This window comes from Homo sapiens, chromosome 4 (assembly GCF_000001405.40).
Source record: "Homo sapiens chromosome 4, GRCh38.p14 Primary Assembly".
Taxonomy (NCBI): Eukaryota; Metazoa; Chordata; class Mammalia; order Primates; family Hominidae; genus Homo; species Homo sapiens.
The window spans coordinates 187,694,761-187,714,959 of NC_000004.12; the positions used below are offsets into that span (position 1 = coordinate 187,694,761).

The 20,199-nt window shown below is 39.3% G+C and overlaps 1 long non-coding RNA gene across 3 annotated transcripts in view; it reads left to right on the forward strand.

The window, feature by feature from the left end:
• The window catches only part of LOC107983963 (uncharacterized), a 42,518-nt gene extending 22,976 nt beyond the window's left edge, over positions 1-19,542 (forward strand). For 2 of the 3 annotated variants that reach the window (XR_939608.2, XR_939610.2), the window contains 2 exons: positions 10,204-10,663; positions 16,984-17,476. This is a non-coding gene — a long non-coding RNA (uncharacterized LOC107983963). Of the gene's footprint in view, positions 1-10,203; positions 10,664-16,983 lie in introns of all 3 variants that reach the window. The other variant, XR_939607.3, reaches the window with a different exon arrangement.
• Positions 19,543-20,199: the final 657 nt, after the last annotated feature.

The following is a 20,199-nucleotide window of genomic DNA, read 5'->3' on the forward strand; positions in this document are numbered from 1 at the left end:
AAGGTTAAATGCAAGAAAATTAGAGTGCCTAGAAGAGCAGACTCTGGATTCAGTGCTGAAAGGTAGATAGCGCTGGAAGGCAAACTCAAGGCTGAGTATTGAACAAAAAGATTGAGCAAGGGTAAATATGCAGAAGCAGCCCCGGTGAACCATTCCAGTGATTTCCTTTGCCCATGTAGTTGCATTGAGTTGCACTGAATGTGTGCAGCCTTTTTACTGCATAGTAGAAGAATGGCAATTGTGTTTTTAAGCTGACCATTAACTTTAGAGGGAAAGCTGCCGAAAGGCAAAATTTTCCTTCCCTTCTGCCCTCAATTTTTCCTCTCAAGGTGTAGGATGGAAGCTTTGTAGTTAAGAAAAATCTCAGTAGGCCTGTCAGAAAAACTAGATTCTAATTGCTGAGTGTAGCAGAGCTAGCACAGTTTTTAATGTTTGCACAGTAGAATTAGTTAAAGCAAGCTCTGCAGATACAGGTTTCCATGTGGGGAACACATGATGTTCTGACCGACAAGTTGGGTGTTTTTAGTTCCAGACATTGCTTGAAACAATAGACACCATGGGTGAAAGAAAGAAAGGGGGACTTATCACTGCAGAACCTGGCACGCATGAAGAGGATTTCCCCCGGCCCAGTGAAAACATGGGCCTATGAATATTTTCAAGAAAAGATTTTCACTTAACTCTCTCTGTAAAACACAGTTGTTGGGGTGTGGTATGGTTTGGCTGTGTCCCCACCCAAATCTCATCTTGAATTGTAGCTCCCATAATTCCCATGTGTCCTGGGAGGGACCCAGTGGGAGGTAATCGAATCATGGGGGTGGGCCTTTCCTGTGCTGTTCTCATGATGGTGGATAAGTCTCATGAGACCTGATGGTTTTATAAAGGGCAGTTCCCTTGCACAAGCTCTCTTGCCTGCTGCCAGTAAGACATGCCTTCGCGTCTCCTTTGCCTTCTGCCATGTGTGAGGCCTCCCCAGCCATGTGGAGCTGTGAGTCCATTAAACCTGTTTCCTTTATAAATTACCCAGACTCAGGTATGTCTTTATTAGCAGTGTGAGAATGGACTAATACAGAAAATTCATACTGGGTAGTGGGGTGCTGCTGTAAAGATACCCAAAAATGTGGAAGCAACTTTGGAACTGGGTAACAGGCAGAGGTTGGAACAGTTTGGAGGGATCAGAAGACAGGAAGATGTGGGAAAGTTTGGAACTTCCTAGAGACTTGTTGAATGGCTTTGACCAAAATGCTGATAGTGATATGGACAATAAAGTCCTGAGGTGGTCTCATATGGAGATGAGGAACTTGTTGGGAACTGGAGCAAAGGCAACTCTTGTTATGTTTTAGCAAAGAGACTGGCAGCATTTTCTCCCTGCCCTATAGATCTGTGGAACTTTGAACTTAGAGATGATTCACAGAATCTGGCAGAAGAATTTAAGCAGCAAAGCATTCAACAGGTGATTTGGTGCTGGTAAAAGCATTCAATTTTATGTATTCACGAAGATATGGTTTAGAATTGGAACTTATGTTTAAAAGGGAAGCAGAGCATAAAAGTTTGAAAAATTTGCAGCTTAACAATGTGATAGAAAAGAAAAACCCAGGCTGGGCACAGTGGCTCATGCCTGTAATCTCAACACTTTGGGAGGCTGAGGCAGGCAGATCACGAGGTCAGGAGTTCGAGACCAGCCTGGCCAACATGGTGAAACCCAGTCTCTACGAAAAGTACAAAAAAACTAGCTGGGTGAGGTGGTGCACGCCTGTAGTCCCAGCTACTCGGGAGGCTGAGGCAGGAGAATTGTTTGAACCCAGGAGGCAGAGGTTGCAGTGAGCTGAGATTGAGCCACTGCACTCCAGCCTGGGCAATAGAGGGAGACTCCATCTCAAAAAACAACAAAAAAGAAAAACCCATTTTCTGAGGAGAAACTCAAGCCTGCTGCATAAATTTGCATAAGTAATGAGAAGCCAAATATTTATCACCAGGACAACGGAGAAAATGTCTCCAAGACATGTTAGAGGTCTTCATGGCAGCCCCTCCCATCACAGGCCTGGAGGCCTAGGAGGAGAAAAAATGGTTTAACAGGCTGAGCTCAGGGCCTGGCTGCTTTGTGCAGTCTCAGGACTTGGTGGCTGGCATCCCAGCCATGGCCAAAAGGGGCCAACGTACAACTCAGACCATTGCTTCAGAGGGTGCAAGCCCTAAGCCTTGGCATCCTACCTGCAGTGTTGGGCCTTCAGGGGCACAGAAGTCAAGAACTGAGCTTTGGGAACCTCAGCCTAGATTTCAAAGGATGTACGGAAATTCCTCAATGTCCAGGCAGAGGTGCACTGCAGGAGCAGAGCCCTCATGGAGAACCACTGCTAGGGCAGCACAGAAGGAAAATGTAGTGTGGGAGGTCCCACACAGAGTCCCCACTGGGGCACTGCCTGGTGGAGCTGTGAGAAAAGGGCCACCATCCTCCAGACCCCAGAATGGTAGATCCACCAACAGCTTGCACGGTGCACATGGAAAAGCCACAGACACGCAATGCCAGCCTGGGAAAGCAGCCAGGAGTGGGGCTGTACCCTGTAAAGCCACAGGGGCAGAGATGTTCAAGGCTGTGGGAGCCCACCAGGTCATCAGCATGACCTGGATGTGAGACATAGAGTCAAAGGAGATCATTTTAGAGCTTTAAGATTTGACTGCCCTGCTGGATTTCAGACTTGCATGGTACCTGTATTCCCTTTGTTTTGGCCAATTTCTCCCATTTGGAATGGCTGTATTTACCCAATGGCTATACCCCCATTGTATCTAGGAAGTAACCAACGTATTTACCCAATGGCTGTACCCCCATTGTATCTAGGAAGTAACCAACTTGCTTTTGATTTTACAGGCTGATAGGTGGCAAGGACTAGCCTTGTTTCAGATGAGACCTTGGACTGTGGACTTTTGAGTTAATGCTGAAATGAGTTAAGACTTCAGGGGACTGTTGGGAAGGCATGATTGGTTTTGAAATGTAAGGACATGAGAATTGGGAGGGCTCAGGGACAGAATTATATAGTTTGGCTGTGTTCCCACCCATATCTCATCTTGAATTGTAGCTCTCACAATGCCCACATATGTAGTGGGAAACACCCGGTGAGAGGTAATGGAATCACGGGGGCGGGTCTTTCCCACGCCGTTCTCATGATAGTGCATGAGTCTCACAAGATCTGATGGTTTTTTAAAGGGCAGCTGCCCTGCACATGCTCTCTTGCTTGCTGCCGTGTAAGACATGACTTTGCTTCTCCTTTGCCTTCCACCATGATTGTGAGGCTTCTCCAGCCATGTGGAACTGTGTGTGCATTAAACCTCTTTCCTTTATAAATTACTCAGTTTGGGGTATATCTTTATTAGCAGCATGAGAATAGACAAATACAGGCTGTTTCAGAGCTTAGTGTGTCCTGCTGATGCTTGCACAGTCCTTTGGAACCATCTGTGCCCTGCAGTGAGTCCTGTTCCTTTTTTCATATTAGCTCTGAAACCACCCTTTACAAGTATTTTCAAACTATCTGAAAAACAGCACTTGATTTTCCTCAGTGTTACAGATGCAGGAAGCCATCAAAGTATTATTTGTTTCAAAGCTCTATGAATTTTTAGGCAAATGTCACTCTATGAATTTTTAGGCAAATTCAGGCAAAAAACAAGTAAATTCTCATTTAATATGCCATATGTTTCTGGTGCCTAAACTCCTCTTGGAGAATAAAAGGAACCTTTAGAACACTGTGTGGCCTCCCACACTCTTCAAGGCACTTACCTTACTCTCGAGGAATAACAGAGACATCTAGGTAATCTTAATTAATTACTACTGACAGGATGGGAGAGAAGTGTGTCTAAGGCACTTATCAGTATCATCAACAGAATTACATTTAGAAAATCTGCTCTGTATAGGAAATTGTGCTCCATAGTGCCCTGGGGAAAATAACAATAACATATGACACACTGCCTGCCTTCAAGGAAATTATTATCTGGGTGAAAATAAGATAGACACCTGTGAAGGTAAATAGCAAAACGGGTGGTATCAGTTACCTGCAAAATGAGAGGTACGAGGAAGTAATCCAGAAAATCAGAGTAGTATATCACCCCAGCATTGGAAAAGACATTAAAAGTCTTCTAGTTCAGTAATTTACTGATGCTTGAGTTCACTTGCAACATAAGAGTTCACATTTATTGAGTATTATTATTGCAGACATTGTTCAAAGTATTATGAAAATACATATTGAAAATATATGTTCATTGTTTCACATAACATTTTCATGAGCTGGGATTGTTTACAAAGGAGAGAATTAAAAATCAGAAAACGTGAATAATTTGTCCAAAGTCCCATAGTCACTAAATGATAGGGCAGTGGTTCAAACTCAGGTCTTCCCTACCTAGAGCCAGTGCCCTTCATCAGTGTAAGATAGTCATGCTGGCCTCTCCAGTCATGGAGGCCCAGACAATTCCCAGTGGCTCATTCCATCACAGGGAGATGGGGAGAATAGTAAGGGTTTCATAGACTTGAATGTTCCAGAAAGAAGGAAGTCAAAAAGTTAAAATTAAAGAAATACTAATTAATATTTTAAAAGGCAAATTCCAAACCACACATGTAATCTGTAGAATGCAGATTTGTACACCTTTGAGGGAACTCAACTTTCAACTATCAGAATCAGTCCTGGGTAGCTAGGATGATGGTTTGAGAATAGTGTTATTTTTCAAGATCTTTGCTTCTGTGAAATTTTAAAAGGTAATTGAAATATTGAGAAGCCTATGAAGAGGTGAATTTAATATAATCCACAGAATGACAAATGTACATTTAGAGGATTTAAATTTAGGAATGATGGGCAACTGATGCAATGGTTACTATTGGCCGTTTGATAAAAGTTCTTTGGTTTTGGAATTTATTTAGTATCCAACAACATCTTTTGCTAAATCTATAGCTCTCCCTTGAGTTTTATCTTTTCTCTTGTTCATTGGTTTATTTAATTTCAAAGACAATTACACACGCCAAAGTAATGATCCTACAGATGTATAAGTGTATCCTGAGATGAATAAATTATGGACATTTTGGTAATTAGCAAATGGAAGGGGAGCAGCTGGATGCTTAACACAGATGGGTTTATTGGTTAAAATAAACTTCAGTTTGCCTTTTTTTCAAATTAAGCAATATTAGCCCCTTTTGTTGCTTTGTGAACAATCAACCAAACAGCATAATTCTAGATGGATTGCTCTTTGATTGCCATTGCTAAATCTAATTCTAATGATTTAATTGTTTTTAATTTCTCTGTGGCCTATATGTGTGGGCTGTGTCCCTGTCTGTGAGGCTTAAAATCTGAGGAAAAACATGCTTCATATTCTCATGAGCAAAGTATTCATATGTGATCTGGATTGTAGCTTTGTGCCAAGCTTCTTCTACAAATGAGAATGAAAGGAAAATTTGTCGAATACAATTTTACCCTCTTAGGTTTTTCTTTATAAGAAATAACAGTTCAGTGTGATTATGTAAAATCATTGGGAATGGGGTGATCCAGTGTTTTAAGAATACGTGTGTAAATATAAAAGATAGAATTATTGATTAAAATATCCTTACAAAATAATCATGTCACTTCACTGCACCAAATGGCGATGGATCACCCCCTTCTATAAAAGAAAAAACAAAACTTCCTTGACAGCGCATTAAATGTCTTGCATAATCCGACCACAGTCACACTGACTTGGACTAGATATTGGGGACCCCAAGTGATACAATGCATGCAAAGATTGTTGAAGGAGCCCTTTGGATCTGGGTTAAACTGTGACCCAGCACATGCTAGTTGAGCAGCCTCAAACACGTGAATTAAACTGTCTAAATGTGGTTTTCCTCACTGAGGGGGGATAATAATGCTACCTTTCCTACAAGGTCGTAAGACTAGATGAAATGATAAAAAGGGCTTAGCACAGTGCTTGGCTTTATGCTCCATGCGTGATCTACTTACCTTTCGTTTCTGTATTGTTGCTGCTGTTGTAACTTTTATTATCTGACCTCTCATGCGTATTTGCACCTGAAGATCTGTCTAGAGTGCTCTTTTGTCATCTGAATGATCAAATTCCATAAATCTTTCAGGACTCAGCTCATCGGCCATCTCTTCCACTACATTTTGCCAGTCTTCCCTAGCTAAAAGCTAATTCTTCTTCTATAAAAGCATTGCAATTCTTATTGTCAGTGACAGTCATTTGTACTTAATCCTTACAGGCTTCTTTAGGTATTTATCTCTTCATGTACTTCTCAGTGAGATAGCAGACTCCTTAAAAGCAGGAACTGAGGCAATTTCTACATATCTTTTGCAGTTTCTGGCAGAATTGCAAGCAATGAATATTTGTTGTTTTATTATTTTTTATCCTTCATGGTTGGGAATTATATGTTGTTTTAATCAACACTCAACAAATCCAGAATGCCTCATCATTAGATGAAATGGCCAGAGTTAAATGGCAACCTAATCTGATAGCTCACATTTATTAAACATTACTGCTAATGTTTTTTATGTCCCAGACACTGGTTCTAAGCACTTCATAAGTTTTATTTTCTTTAATCCTCTTGCAGACACTATGAGGTCTGTATTATTTTAATTATTTTAGATCAGAAGATAATAAAGCACAGAAGGTTCAAAAAAATTTTTCCAAGGTTATATAGTCAGCTTGAGATTGAGCCAGGGTTTAAATCCAGGCAGACTAAGTCCAGACAGAGACCATGCTCTTAACCTCTATTCAATTCTATCTATCCATTAATATATTCAGTCATCTTCTTAGGTTCTTTTCAACTGGGCAAAACCCATAAAGCTGAGAAATAACTATGGCAGATGTCATTTTTCATCCTTTTAGGGGGCATATTATGTAAATATGCCTATTTACATAATAAAAAATCAAGTCTATAGATAATGAGACAAAATATTTTAAATTAAGACTGCCTTGGCAAAAATCTGGGTACAAGATGAAAATAAAAATAGGTAACACATTTTGAGGTATCAGGTATTAGGCTGATAAAGTGAATTTTCATATTTTGGTTATTACTGCTGAGAAAGAGAAAAACAGCCTCTGGCAGCTGGGAGCTAGCTTGGCATTATGAGCTGGGCCTTGATGTTCTCCTGTGCACATAAACTATTTCACAGAGCATCAGCGTTAGCATCAGCTAGGACCACTCTCTGACCAGGATGGATCCAGGCAAAAACATCACCACTCCAGAGGCATGTCTGAACCCAGACAGAAACAAGAACATTTTCCAAACCACAAAATTCACCAAACATCCTCTTATCCTGGCTAAAGTGAGAGGCTGCTGCTGCTTTACCAGTGATAGCTTTAGCCTTCTCTGTTCCTCCTGTCTTCTGGATGAGAATTATTAAGATACTGAGTCACAAAAATGCCACTGCTCCTGAAAAGCATCCCATCCAGAACAAAGCTTTCCTTCTTTGAGCCTTTTCCTAAATCACTTAGGATAAACCCCAATTCTGCCAGTTCTTTCTAATATTCTCTTACTGATGTGGCCCCCAGATCCCCATGATGTGAGTTGCCCCGCACTGGAACATTTCAATAAACCAGTTCTCCAACTACAAGTTTCCTGGTGCTGTGAATCTGGAGAGCATTAACACTATTATTATCCTTATCTCAGCAATGAAGGAACACTGAGTAAGGTCAAAACTACTGTTTGATTCTATATTTAAACCCAGTTTGTCTCTATTGCTGTCATTATTTTTGTTTTTGTTTGTTTTTATTACGTAGGCTCCGGAAACTGCTCTCTTAACCACTACGTTATACAGCTCCCTTATGGTTACTGCAAACACAGATAAATAATAAGATGAGAGGAAGTGACCGTCTACTGCATTACTATCACGTGCTACCTAAATTGATATGTTTTTCTAATTTAAATCTCACAACCCTTTCAAGCAACAATCCTTCTTTTACAGAAGCTCATTTCAGCTATTAAAGAAGTCCATATTTAAAAATATGAAGTAATTTCCCTTTATAACAGAAGTCTCATGACTAGCAAGTTTTGAATTTTAATTCCACTGTCTCAGGTAATATACTCACATGCTTACACCACATTGGAATAGTTATTATCTGGAAAGGAGCTGAAGCAAGCACTGTCTTAGAGCATCGTCTGGTCTGGTATTGCTCCTTATTTCTTGGTAAGGTCCAGCAAGAAACACATGATCAGAATGCACCTTCTTTATATTTCCAACTGCTGTTTGTTCTTTATCACAAATATTAGAATTGGGGATGCCTTATCTCCTTCTTTATTATCTATTGAGATTGACTCGATTTTGAGAGTAGGTCAATTATCACGATAGAACTTTTAATCTTATACATATAATGGCTCTGACTTTAAAGTTTCTAAAAGAAAATTGAGAAAATATAATTAAATGTATGTTTCAGGGAATGGGGCCTGTCTAACTTATGATATCAATAAATGCTATAATAAATTATCCTTATTCTAAACAATTGCTGCCAGTCCTCTGAACTATGGCATGACGATAACTGGAGTATCTTGGGATCCTGGGGTGCTTCTATCCCAAGAGTATGTGAAGTCCTGTTTCATTTATTTTATATTTTTCTATACCAAAATCATTTTCCGAAAGACTACAAGAAGAAGAAAGGAAAACAGGAAGACCTACCATCTCAGACTCCTCATTTTTATGTGATACCAACTTTCAAAATAAGTTCTATTTAGGTGATAGATTGTTTGGTGAAAAACTACTTAAAACTGTATTTGAGCAGGAATTCTTTGTGATACCAAGGAGGACTAGATAGATATCAAGTAAACTCCTGATTTAGAGATGAGAACTAGATAGATATTATTAAGTCAACTCCTGATTTCAGAGATGAGAACTCCATAGATATTATTAAGTCAACTCCTGGTTTCAGAGATGAGAACTCCATAGATATCATTAAGTCAACTCCTGATTTCAGAGATGAGAACTCAATAGATAGCGTTAAGTCAACTCCTGATTTCAGAGATGAGAACTCGATAGATAGCGTTAAGTCAACTCCTGATTTCAGAGATGAGAACTCGATAGATAGCGTTAAGTGAACTCCTGATTTCTTACAGTCTCTGCTAATCTGCTCACTAGCATGGCTAAAGGAAATGTTGAAATTTTAACTAGAAAGAAAGTATTTGACTATTTGAATTTTCATACTCTTGTTTAAAATGAAATAGTAGTAAAACATTTGGGAAATGTAATTAAAATTCTGGTTCTAAACATCTTCATGAAGATGACATCATTAGTTATGCCAGAATTCCTGGACTGATTTTTCAGATTAAGTGTTGTCATTAATGGGCATCAATCTGTATTGAGGAGGTTTTTTTTCCTGAAAATATAAACATTACATACATTATGAGTGACAACAAATCTTCATGTCATATAGAGAACCATTTACACTTCATATCTGTGAACATTCATGTATATATTGAACAATGTAATTCTTAATGAAATATTGATTTCTAAGTGCCATTTACTTATAAAACTTGAGTCATGATTTCAGTTTAAGTTGGACAACAAACTCCAAAAGAAACCCTGCAGCCAGTGTGTCTCATGTTTTAGGAAGTGCCCAGGCAGCTATGTGGTATTTTTTCCAACACAGAGCACTCAAGATCCAGGTCCTGCAGATGAAATTTGTAGCCTTAATAAACATATAGGGTTGTTGAACAGTAAAGGGGTTTATTTGTACTTTTATGAGTACATTTTTCTCTTTTGTTTACTAATGAACTAAAATTTTTCTGCATGAAAAAGCTCAATATAGATGTAGAAATCTTTTAGAGACATGACAAAATGTACTACGTCAGAGCCACCAGTACTCACGTTAAGTAGACAGATCACACAGACAGCGATCAGATTTCACGTTCAAGAGTTCATCTTGAGTTACCGTTCTATAGACTCAGAATGAAGATCACCTCGCTTATTAAAGGCAATAAAAGATAAAGAAAATAGGAAATAAGAAAGACTTGATTAAATGGCCATTTCACTGAATTCAGCATGAGTCCTGCACAAATTAGACATTTAGATTAACAGCTTCTTTGATTATTAGAAAGCCTGGAAAATGGGGTCTGACAGGATTATAGCATAAGCTCATTTATAATGATTCATTTTTTGGAATGTAGCTTTTTCATAAGCCAAATAGAAATTACACATACAAATTCATATTTGGAATTTTGTTCTTATTTTTGAATTTTGCCTATCTTTTCAGGTGTCTGTGAACTCAAGAGAAGCCTTTCATTCTAGACATAGTAGTTATTTTCTAAATCATCTTTAAACTTATTTGCTGGAATATTGTGGGGGTAAAGTGCAAACTTCCCCTTCACCATCTGAAGGTTTGCTAAAAATCAACAGGCAGAAGGCGAATTAACAGGAGAAATGGCATGCCAATTTGTTTGATCACAGTTTTACATGAAGAATGAAGACCCAAAGACACATGAGAAATTGTCCATTTTTATGCAACACCAGACCAGGCGATGCTCTAAGACAGGTACAACAAAGTATGGACATGCGTGTAGAAATACGAGTCAACTAAAGGGTGTGATCTACTGCTAATAGGCTGAGTGGGGACACCCAGACTCTTCCTGGCCCCTGTGAGCAGCTTCCTTTCCTTCTGGTGTGGGGCAGGAACTTCTCTGGAATGGGGATCTTCTGACCCACAGTCAAACAAGGTAGGTCACAGTTTCTTTATGGCCAGTTCTTACACAGAATGGTGGGGGAAAGTTAGAATAATATTCTTAGGTTTTATGGCTGTCTTTGGGAGAAGGGGTTTTGGTTTCTCTGACGCACCTTAGGGAAAGAAAATTTCTAGTTTCTCTGTCTAGCCTCAAGAGAGAATGAGGCTCAGAGACATAAGGGCAGAAGAAAGTCAGGGAGGGTTTTTTGCCACTGAGCTTGCTTCTGAGGCCATCTCTGAGGCCTTCACTTTGGGGTGTCATTTTATGAGCCCCAGCAATATCTTTCTAAAAAATATGGAAAAGGCTTAAAAGACTCAGGCCATTTTAGAGCTATATAAACTTGTATAACTAAGAATGGAGAATTGTTACTGAAAGATACTAGGTCTCTTTTTATACTAAATTTATAATACAGTGTAGCTCCCTCAGAAAGAAAAAGTGAGGTTCATTCATTCATTTATTCACTTACTCATTCACAAATGTTTGTTAATCACACTAGTCTCCTCTCAAGTAAGTGAAAGATAACATATAATATACATAACAGGCCGGGCGCGGTGGCTCACGCCTGTAATCCCACCACTTTGGGAGGCCAAGGCGGGCGGATTACCTGAGGTCAGGAGTCTGAGACCAGCCTGCCCAACAAGGCGAAACCCCGTCTGGACAAAAAATACAAAAAATTAGCCGGGCGTGGTTGTGGCGGGTGCCTGTAGTCCCAGCTACTCGGAAAGCTGAGGCAGGAGAATTGCTTGAACCCGAAAGATTGCAGTGAGCCGAGATCGCGCCACTGCACTCCAGCCTGGGAGACAAGAGTGAAACTCCGTCTCAAAATAACAACAACAACAGCAATAATAATAATATACACAACAAACATATTTTGAAGGTGATAAGTGCAACAAGAGAAAAGAGTCGAACAAGGGGAATGGAGACTGCAGGGAGTAGGGGAGGGATAGTATGAGTAGAAGTTCATTGGTGTAGACAGGATAAGCCTCCTTGAGAAGGCAACACTAAAACACTTTTTTTTTTTTTAAAAAAAAAAGAGAAATTTCTGTGGGGACATGAAAGGTATTAAACTTGTACATAGAGGCAGCAGCCAGTGCAAAAACTCTGTAGGAGGAATGTGATCACTCCAGGAATAAGAGGGGTCCATGCTCTGTGACAGGACAAGAAGAGGGCAGGAAGAAATTAACTGGAGTGATAGAGCAAGGCTGACCGTGCAGGATCTTGCAAACCACTGTGATGCGAAGTCTTGAGCTTTTAATTGAAGAGAAATAGGAACCCACTGGAAGTTTAAGCTGAGAAGTGACGTGATCGCTGCTGAATTTTTGGAGGATTATTCTGGTTTTGTGTTGAAACTTCAGTAGATCAAGGCTGGAAGTACTGGAGAACTGTTGAGAGGCCACTGAAATAATCCAGGTGAGATACAAGGGTGGCTGCACCAAGGTTGTAACTGTGGAGGGACTGATATGTACCAGGTCTTGGATACATTTAAAAGGTAAAAGCATATAGGTTTTCCTAAAAAACTGGATATAGAAGAGGTAAGAAAGATGGAGGAGTCCATCATTTGGCTTCAGGAACAAGAAGAATGGATTTGCCATTAACTGCGATGGGTAAAACTGTGAAGGAAAGCAAAATATTTCACCCAAAATATATTTCTTTGGCATGCTTCAAGATGGCTATTCAGAGAAGCTGCAAACCACAGGAACAGATTTGGAAAGTTGTCTTTTTTATGGAACGTTTGCACATGTAGAGAAAAATCTACAGCAAAGTAAATAGCAGATACAAAAAGTCTTTTTCTAAGCCCACCCTTGTCCAAATGTAGGAAAAATACACAGGAGAGACCAAAAGTCTAATATTTTTAAGAGTCTGATGACAGGCCCCCATCTATTCTTTTTTTTTTTTTCTTTTTTTTTAAAGATTGCATTTTGCTATGTTGCCCAGGCTTGTCTCAAACTCTTGGGCCTCCAGTGATCCTCCCACCCCAGCCTCCTGAGTATCTGAGACTATAGCCTTGCATCTGTTCTTTTTGAGAGCTAGTGCTTCATTTGCATAACAAGATCAGCTCTGATTGACAACATTTCCTCCCCTCATTCTCCCATAGCCTGTGAGGCTACCTCCCTGGAGCTCACAGAAACTTTGTCCTAGGCCGTTGTTCTTTGGGCTCATTCATTTCCCCTGAAAATTATTTACTTCTGCATTCCCCATCTCTGTCCTCCCCAGTGAAGAGGGCATTTAAGCCAGACAAGGACAAAATAAAAAAATAATAATGGCCAGTCACAGTGGCTCACACCTGTAATCCCAGCACTTTGGGAGGCCAAGGTGGGCAGATCACGAGGTCAGGAGTTTGAGACCATACTGGCCAACATGGTGAAACCCCGTCTCTACTAAAAATACAAAAAATTAGCCAGGCATAGTGGCAGGTATCTGTAGTCTCAGCTACTCAGGAGGTTGAGGCAGGAGAATTGTTTGAAACCAGAAGCTGGAGGTTGCAGTGAGCTGAGATTGCACCACTGCACTCCAGCCTGGGCCACAGAGTGAGACTCTGTCTCAAAAAAATAAAATAAAAAATAAAAAAAATCACAAGCCAATATCATTGATGAACTTAGATGCAAAAACCCTCAACTAGTTAGCTGAAGTCAACAACACATTAAAAAGATCATTCACCATGATTAAGTGGGATTCAGCCTAGGAATGCAAGGATGGTTCAACATATGCAAATCAATAAACAGGATACATCATATTAACAGAACCAGAAGCAAAAACTGTATGATTATTTCAATAGATGCTGAAAAAATATTCAGTAAAATTCAACAATTCTTTATTATAAAAACCCTCAATAATCTGGATAGAAGGAACACATCCCGAAATGATAAAGACTATATCTGACAAACCCACAGCTAACATCATACTGAATGGGAAAAATTTGAAGGCCTTTCCCCAGAGATCTGGAACAAGACAAGAAGGTCCACTTTCATCATTTTTATTCAATGTAATACTGCAAGTCTGAGCCAGGGCAATTAAGCAAGAAAAAGAAATGAAGGGCATCCAAATTGGAAAGGAAGAAGTCAAATTAGACTTGTTTGCAGATGGCACAATGTTATACTTAGAAAAACCTAAAGACTCCAGCAAAATCAGTTAGAACTGATAAATGTATTCAGTAAAGTTGCAGAATAAAAAATCAGCATACAAATATCAGTAACTTTTTTATTTTTCTGAGGCAGGGTTTTACAAATGTCACCCAGGCTGGAGTGCAATGATGTGATCTCAGCTCACTGCAACCTTCACCTACTGGGATCAGGCAATTCTCCTGCCTCAGCCTCCTGAGTACCTGGGACTACAGGCACACGCCACTGCATCCAGCTAATTTTTGTATTTTTTTGTAGAGACAGGGTTTTGCCATGTTGTCCAGGCTGGTTTCAAACTCCTGAGCTCAGGTGATTTACTGCCTCGCAAAGTGCTGGGACTACAGGAGTGAGCCACTGCATCTGGTCAAATATCAGTAACAGTTTTATATGCCAATAGCAAGCAATCTGAAAAAGAAATCAAGAACACAATCTCATTTACAACAGCTTCAAAGAATATAAAACACCTAAGAATTAATTTAAGTAAAAAAGTGAAAGATCCACACAAGGAAAACTATGAAATACTGATGAAAAAAATTGAAGAGGACACGAAAATATGGAAGGATATACAGTGCTCTTGGATTGAAAGAAGTAGTATTGCTAAAATGAACATACTCAAAGTAATTTACAGATTCAGTGCAATCTCTATCAAAATATCAATAACAGTCTTTACAGAAACAGGAAAAAAAATCCTAAAATGTATATGGAACTACAAACACACCAAGTAGCCATGGCAATACTGAGCAAAGGAACAAAACTGGAGGCATCACATTCCCTGACTCCAAAATATACTACAATGCTATAGTAACCAAATCAACATGGTACTGGCATAAAAACTCATGCATGCACTGATGGAACAGAATAGAGAACCCAGATATCAACCCACACATTTACAACCAACTCATTTTTTACAAAGTCACCAAAAATATACAATGGGTAAAACAGAGTCTTTTCAAAAATGATGGTAGGAAAACTGGATAACCATGTACAGAATCATGAAACTAGACCCCTGTCTCTCACTATATACAAAAACCAAATCAAAATGGATTAAATACTTAAATCTAAGACTTGAAACTATAAAACTACCGGAAGAAAACAATGGAGAAATGCTCCAGGACATTGGTCAGGGCAAATATTTTTTGTGTAAGATCTCAAAAGCACAGGCAACCCAAGCACAGTTAGAGATACAGAATTACATCAAACTAAAAAGCTTCTGCACAGCAAAGGAAACAATCAACAAAGTGAAGAGACAATCTAAAAAATAATTAAAAAAAAAAAATTTGAGGCCAGGCACGGTGGCTCACGCCTATAATCCCAGCACTTTGGGAGGCCGCGGCGGGCGGATCAAGAGGTCAGGAGATCGAGACCATCCTGGCTAACATGGTGAAACCCTGTCTTTACTAAAAATACAAAAAAAAAATTAGCCAGGTGTGGTGATGGGCACCTGTAGTCCCAGCTACTCAGGAGGCTGAGGCAGGAGAATGGTGTGAACCTGGGAGGCAGAGCTTGCAGTGAGCTGAGATAATGCCACTGCATTCCAGCCTGGGCGACAGAGAGAGACTCTGTCTAAAAAACTAAAAAAAAAAAAAATTTGCAAACTACCCATGTGACAATATTAATAACTAGAATATATAAGTAACTCAAACAACTCAACAGCAAAAAAAAAAAAACCACAATAATCCAGTTTAAAAATGGGCAAAACATCTTATCAGTTAGTTCTTAAGAGAAAACAGATAAATGGCCAACAGGTATATGAAAAAAATGTTCAGCATCACTAATCATCAGAGAAATGTGATCTAAAACTGAGACATACTCTCATCCCAGTTAAAATGGCTTTTATCAAAAAGACAGGCAATAATGCATAGTGGTAACGATTTAGAGAAAAGGGAAACCTTCGTACATTGTTGGTGGGAATATCAACTAGTACCGCCACTACAGACAACAGTATGGAGGTTCCTCATTAAAAACCTAAAAACTGAGCTACCATATGATCCAGCTCCATTGTACTGCTGGGTATTTATCCAAAAGAAAGGAAATTAGTATATTGATGACATCTGCATGCCCATCTTGATTACAACACTATTCACAAAGCCAATCAACCTATGTGTCTATCAATAGATGAATGGATAACAAAAATGTAGTACATATACATAATTAAATACCATTCAGTCATAAAAAAGAATTCTGTCATTTGCAGCAACATGGATGAAACTGGAGGTCATTATATCAAATGAAATAAGCCAGGCATAGAAAGACAAATATCTCATGTTCTCATGCATCTGTGGGGGTTCAAAAGGTAAATCTCATGAAGACAAAGAGTGTATTGGTGGTTACCAGGGCCCAGGAAAGGTAGTGGGGAGGGAAGTATGAAGAGAGGTTGATAAATGGGTACAAATATACATTCTGACAGAAGAAGTAAGACCCAGTATTTGACAGAGCAGTAGGGTGACTATAGTTTACAATAATCTAATGTATACTTCAAAATAGAAGAAAATAATTTGAATATTTCTAAAATAAAGACAAATATTTAAGGTGATGGATAGTTCAATTATATTGAGTTGATCTTTACAAATTTTATCAATGTATTAAATTATCACGTGTCCTGAAAATATGTACATCTATTATGTATCAATACAAAAATTTTTAAAAAACTATTCTGTACAGGACAATGGTCTAAACACTTGGAATACAGGATTGACAAAGCCTTCTGAAATTTACTTCAGAGGAGGAAATATATAGTAAACAAATAAACAGCAAAATGAAAACCTAGAGACCATGTGATAAACAGTATGAGGAAAATAAAACTGAGTCTTATGATAGCTTCTAATGGAGCGTCATTGAGTGGGGTGTTATTTTAGGTTGAGTGATGAGCAAAGGCCCTCAAAAGATCACATTGAACTGAAACAATATTGTCCTAAAAAAGAGTAAGCCATGGCAAATTCTAGAGAAAAAGATTTCCAAGCAGAGAAAATAGCTAGTGCAATGGTCTGGAGGAAGCAAGAAGCTCAGTATATTTGAGAAAAGGGGAGGCCAACTGAGCTCTGGCACAGAGAATGGAGGAGGGTGATAGGAGATGAATTTAGGGAGGCAAGAAAGCACCCAACTCTGCAGTGGCCTGTGGGCTGTACAAGCATTTTAGATGCCAGTCCTTGGAGGAGTTTCCAGGCTGTGATAAGACCTTATTTGTGTTTTTGACAGAATTGGACAGAAGTCACATCAGGGAGACCAGAGACTAGAGTATTGCATCATAGAGGAAAGACACTGATGACAAGACCTCAGGGGAGCAGTGGAACTGGAGGCCTGGGAGCTTGGGACGTGTTCTCCGGGTGAAGTTGGCTGGCCAGCTGATGACCTACACCAGTGCCATTCACTCCTCATGTGTCCCCCGGGAATTCATAGTGTGTGTCATCAGGTAAAAGCAACACTACTTTCAGATGTTTTCTGATCTCTTTGAGATCTGGACAACACTACTGTGTACATATGGCCAGCAACAAATTACACTCAATGAATATTTTAGAGAGCAGCAAAGTAATCAATTAAAATGTGGGTAAACAAAAATCACTGTGATCACAGCTCTGTCTACATGGTTCTTTGGTAAAAAATTAGAATCCTGGGGATTAGTCTGAGGATAAATATTATTTAAAAAGCATTTTGGTTAAATAGTAATTAGTAAATTTTGCTCTGCCGAAAAATCATATATATTGACAATAAATTTTGTCAAATTTATTAATAACCAGTCTGAAACTCTATAAAGATGAATCCTCAAAATATGGATATAAAAGAAGGGTTTAGTTTTGTTTTATTTTCAGACAGCTATTTTTAAAAAAATAGTAAAAATGTCAAAACAATCTGGTTTTATTTTATTATAAATTACAAAGAAAAAAATACTTCCCTTTTTGTTGTTGAGCTTATCTATTCACAAACACAGAAAGTAGCAAAAGAGGTTTTTGATAGCACGCCATCCCCCATTTAAAATACATTTAAAGACATCCAATAATCATCATCATTTAGAAGGAATCCATCAAAACGTTTCCTATTAATACTCATTTTATTAGTTCAGCTGAATGGAAACAGTAGCATGCTTACATTTAAGAAAGTTCATTATGGGTTCGTTTTCTTTTTAACAAGAAAGGGGAAACAAAATAATGCCCAAACACACAGTGTTGCTGGAGTCAAAACAAAGAAAATTCATCAAAGCATCTATGAGAGCTATCCTGGGATAATCTATTCTAGAGAAGACAATACAAATTGGCTGCAATTGACAGGTCGTAAGTTCCTGGGGGAAAGTCATTATAAGCACATCATAGCACATTTGGCCGATTGCTCAGTGTTCCACACACTGACATCAAGAACACATTTCCAATCCATATTCTGATTGGTTAAATGTGGTTTAGGCAGCCTTTCAGCTTTCAGAGAAATGGTCAAATTCTTTCTTTTCAAAATTCCCAGGCCAAGTCATAATAATGTACTGATCTCATGGAAGTATTCCTGCAGTAATCACTTCGAGTTCCTTCGTTGTGCCTCCACTGCTCTTTCATTCAGCAATTGCCGTTTTGTGTGTTATCATAGAAGAATAACAAAGAATTAGACTCATGACTCTGAACAGAGGCTTGCTTTTTACATGAGTATTATTATTTCATCCTTGGAAATCCTGGAAAACTTCTTACTATTTTGGATACTAGGTCCAGAGTCTGTTTGTTTACAGCATGGATGCTGACTGGTTGCAGTCAGAGGGTGATATGCCAGTGCGTGAAGGAAATAGGGCAAAATGTAAACATTGTACGTTTAGTAGTGCTCTTTCTGCAGGCAAGGAGAGATTGATTGATTTCTCAAGTGCAACTTGTCTGGGGGAACATGGGATTTTATTCTATTTTATTTCATTTCATTTCATTTCATTTATGTTTGAGACAGACTCTTGCTGTGTTCCCCAGGCTGGAGTACAATGGCGTGATGTCGGCCCACTGCAACCTCCGCCTCCTGGGTTCAAGCAATTCTCCTGCCTCAGCCTCCTGGGTAGCTGGGATTATAGGCGCACACCATCATGCCTAGCTAATTTTTGTATTTTCGTAGAGACGAGGTTTCTCCATGTTGGTCAGGCTGGTCTTGAACTCCTGACCTCAGGTGATCTGCCCGCCTCGGCCTCCCAAAGTGCTGGGATTACAGATATAAGCCTCTGTGCCCGGCCAAGCATGGGATTTTACAATAGCATCGTAAGAAATTCTATCTTTTTCCCTGAGTATTCAATTTACACCCATGTTTCGAATGAGCAGTGAGCACCAGCACGGAGATCGGAGCCCCGTGTTACTTGTACGTGAAGGTGTCAGTGCCTGAGTGTGCTAGTGCTGCTGATACTCACACCAAATAGCAAACAAGAGCCGGCAATCTAACCTGTTAAAAATAATAGGCAAATGGGAAGAGAGGACTGAGGAATCTCCTTGAAGTTTCCCTTCACTGATGGGTGCTAAAGATGTATGCCTTGGGGTTTTTTAGATGACATCGATGTAATCCCCTTCAAAAATAGTGACGGAAGAACAGACTTCTTCACCTTATTAATTTCCTGCGGCATCAAAGTCCCTTTGAGAGTCTTTCTGTTCCAATTTTTCCTCAAGTTCACAAAATGTTGGCTGTCAGCGTTATTGTGGGTTAAGACAGAAGGTCCTCCTTTCCTGACCCCAGAGATCCCAGATCATCCCAGTGTTTGTTTATTTTCTAAAATGTCCATTTTGCTTAGAAATAAACACAAATTGGTGACATTTATTCCTTGCACTATCTTCTAACAATTTATTCTAGGTTTACTAATTCTCATGATGTTCTGCTAGAGAAATATGAAGAGGCAATTTACTTGTGTAGAAATGTGAGTCAAATCAAGTGAATATTATCATTGTCAGATTCAGCATTTATCAGTCTTCCCTCACAAGATTCAGAGAGTTCTTTTTCTGTTCAGTTTGGTAATAAGAGAAGTTATAATCAATTTGGTCATAAAAATTGTGCAAAATTAGATTTTTTTATTCCACTTTCTGCTATGAAATATTCTTTTGTTTGTTAGTTTGCTTGAGACCGTGTCTAATTCTGTCACCCAGGCTGGAGTGCAGTAATGTGTTCTCAGCTCACTGCAACCTCCGCCTCCCGGGCTCAAGTGATTCTCCCACCTTGGCCTCCCGAGTAGCTGGGGCTACAGGTGTGCACCATACGCCTGGCTAATTTTTGTATTTTTTTTTTTTTAGAGACAGACTTTAACCATGTTGCAGAGGCTGGTCTCAATTTCCTGGGCTCAAGTGATCCTCCTGCCTTGGCCTCCCAAAGTGCTGGGATTATAGGCGTGAGCCACCACGCCTGGCCTAAATATTCTTTAAATATGTGTGACTTTGGAGGAAAGGGAATCGGATGGGTTAAAATATGTGAAGTTCATTGTCA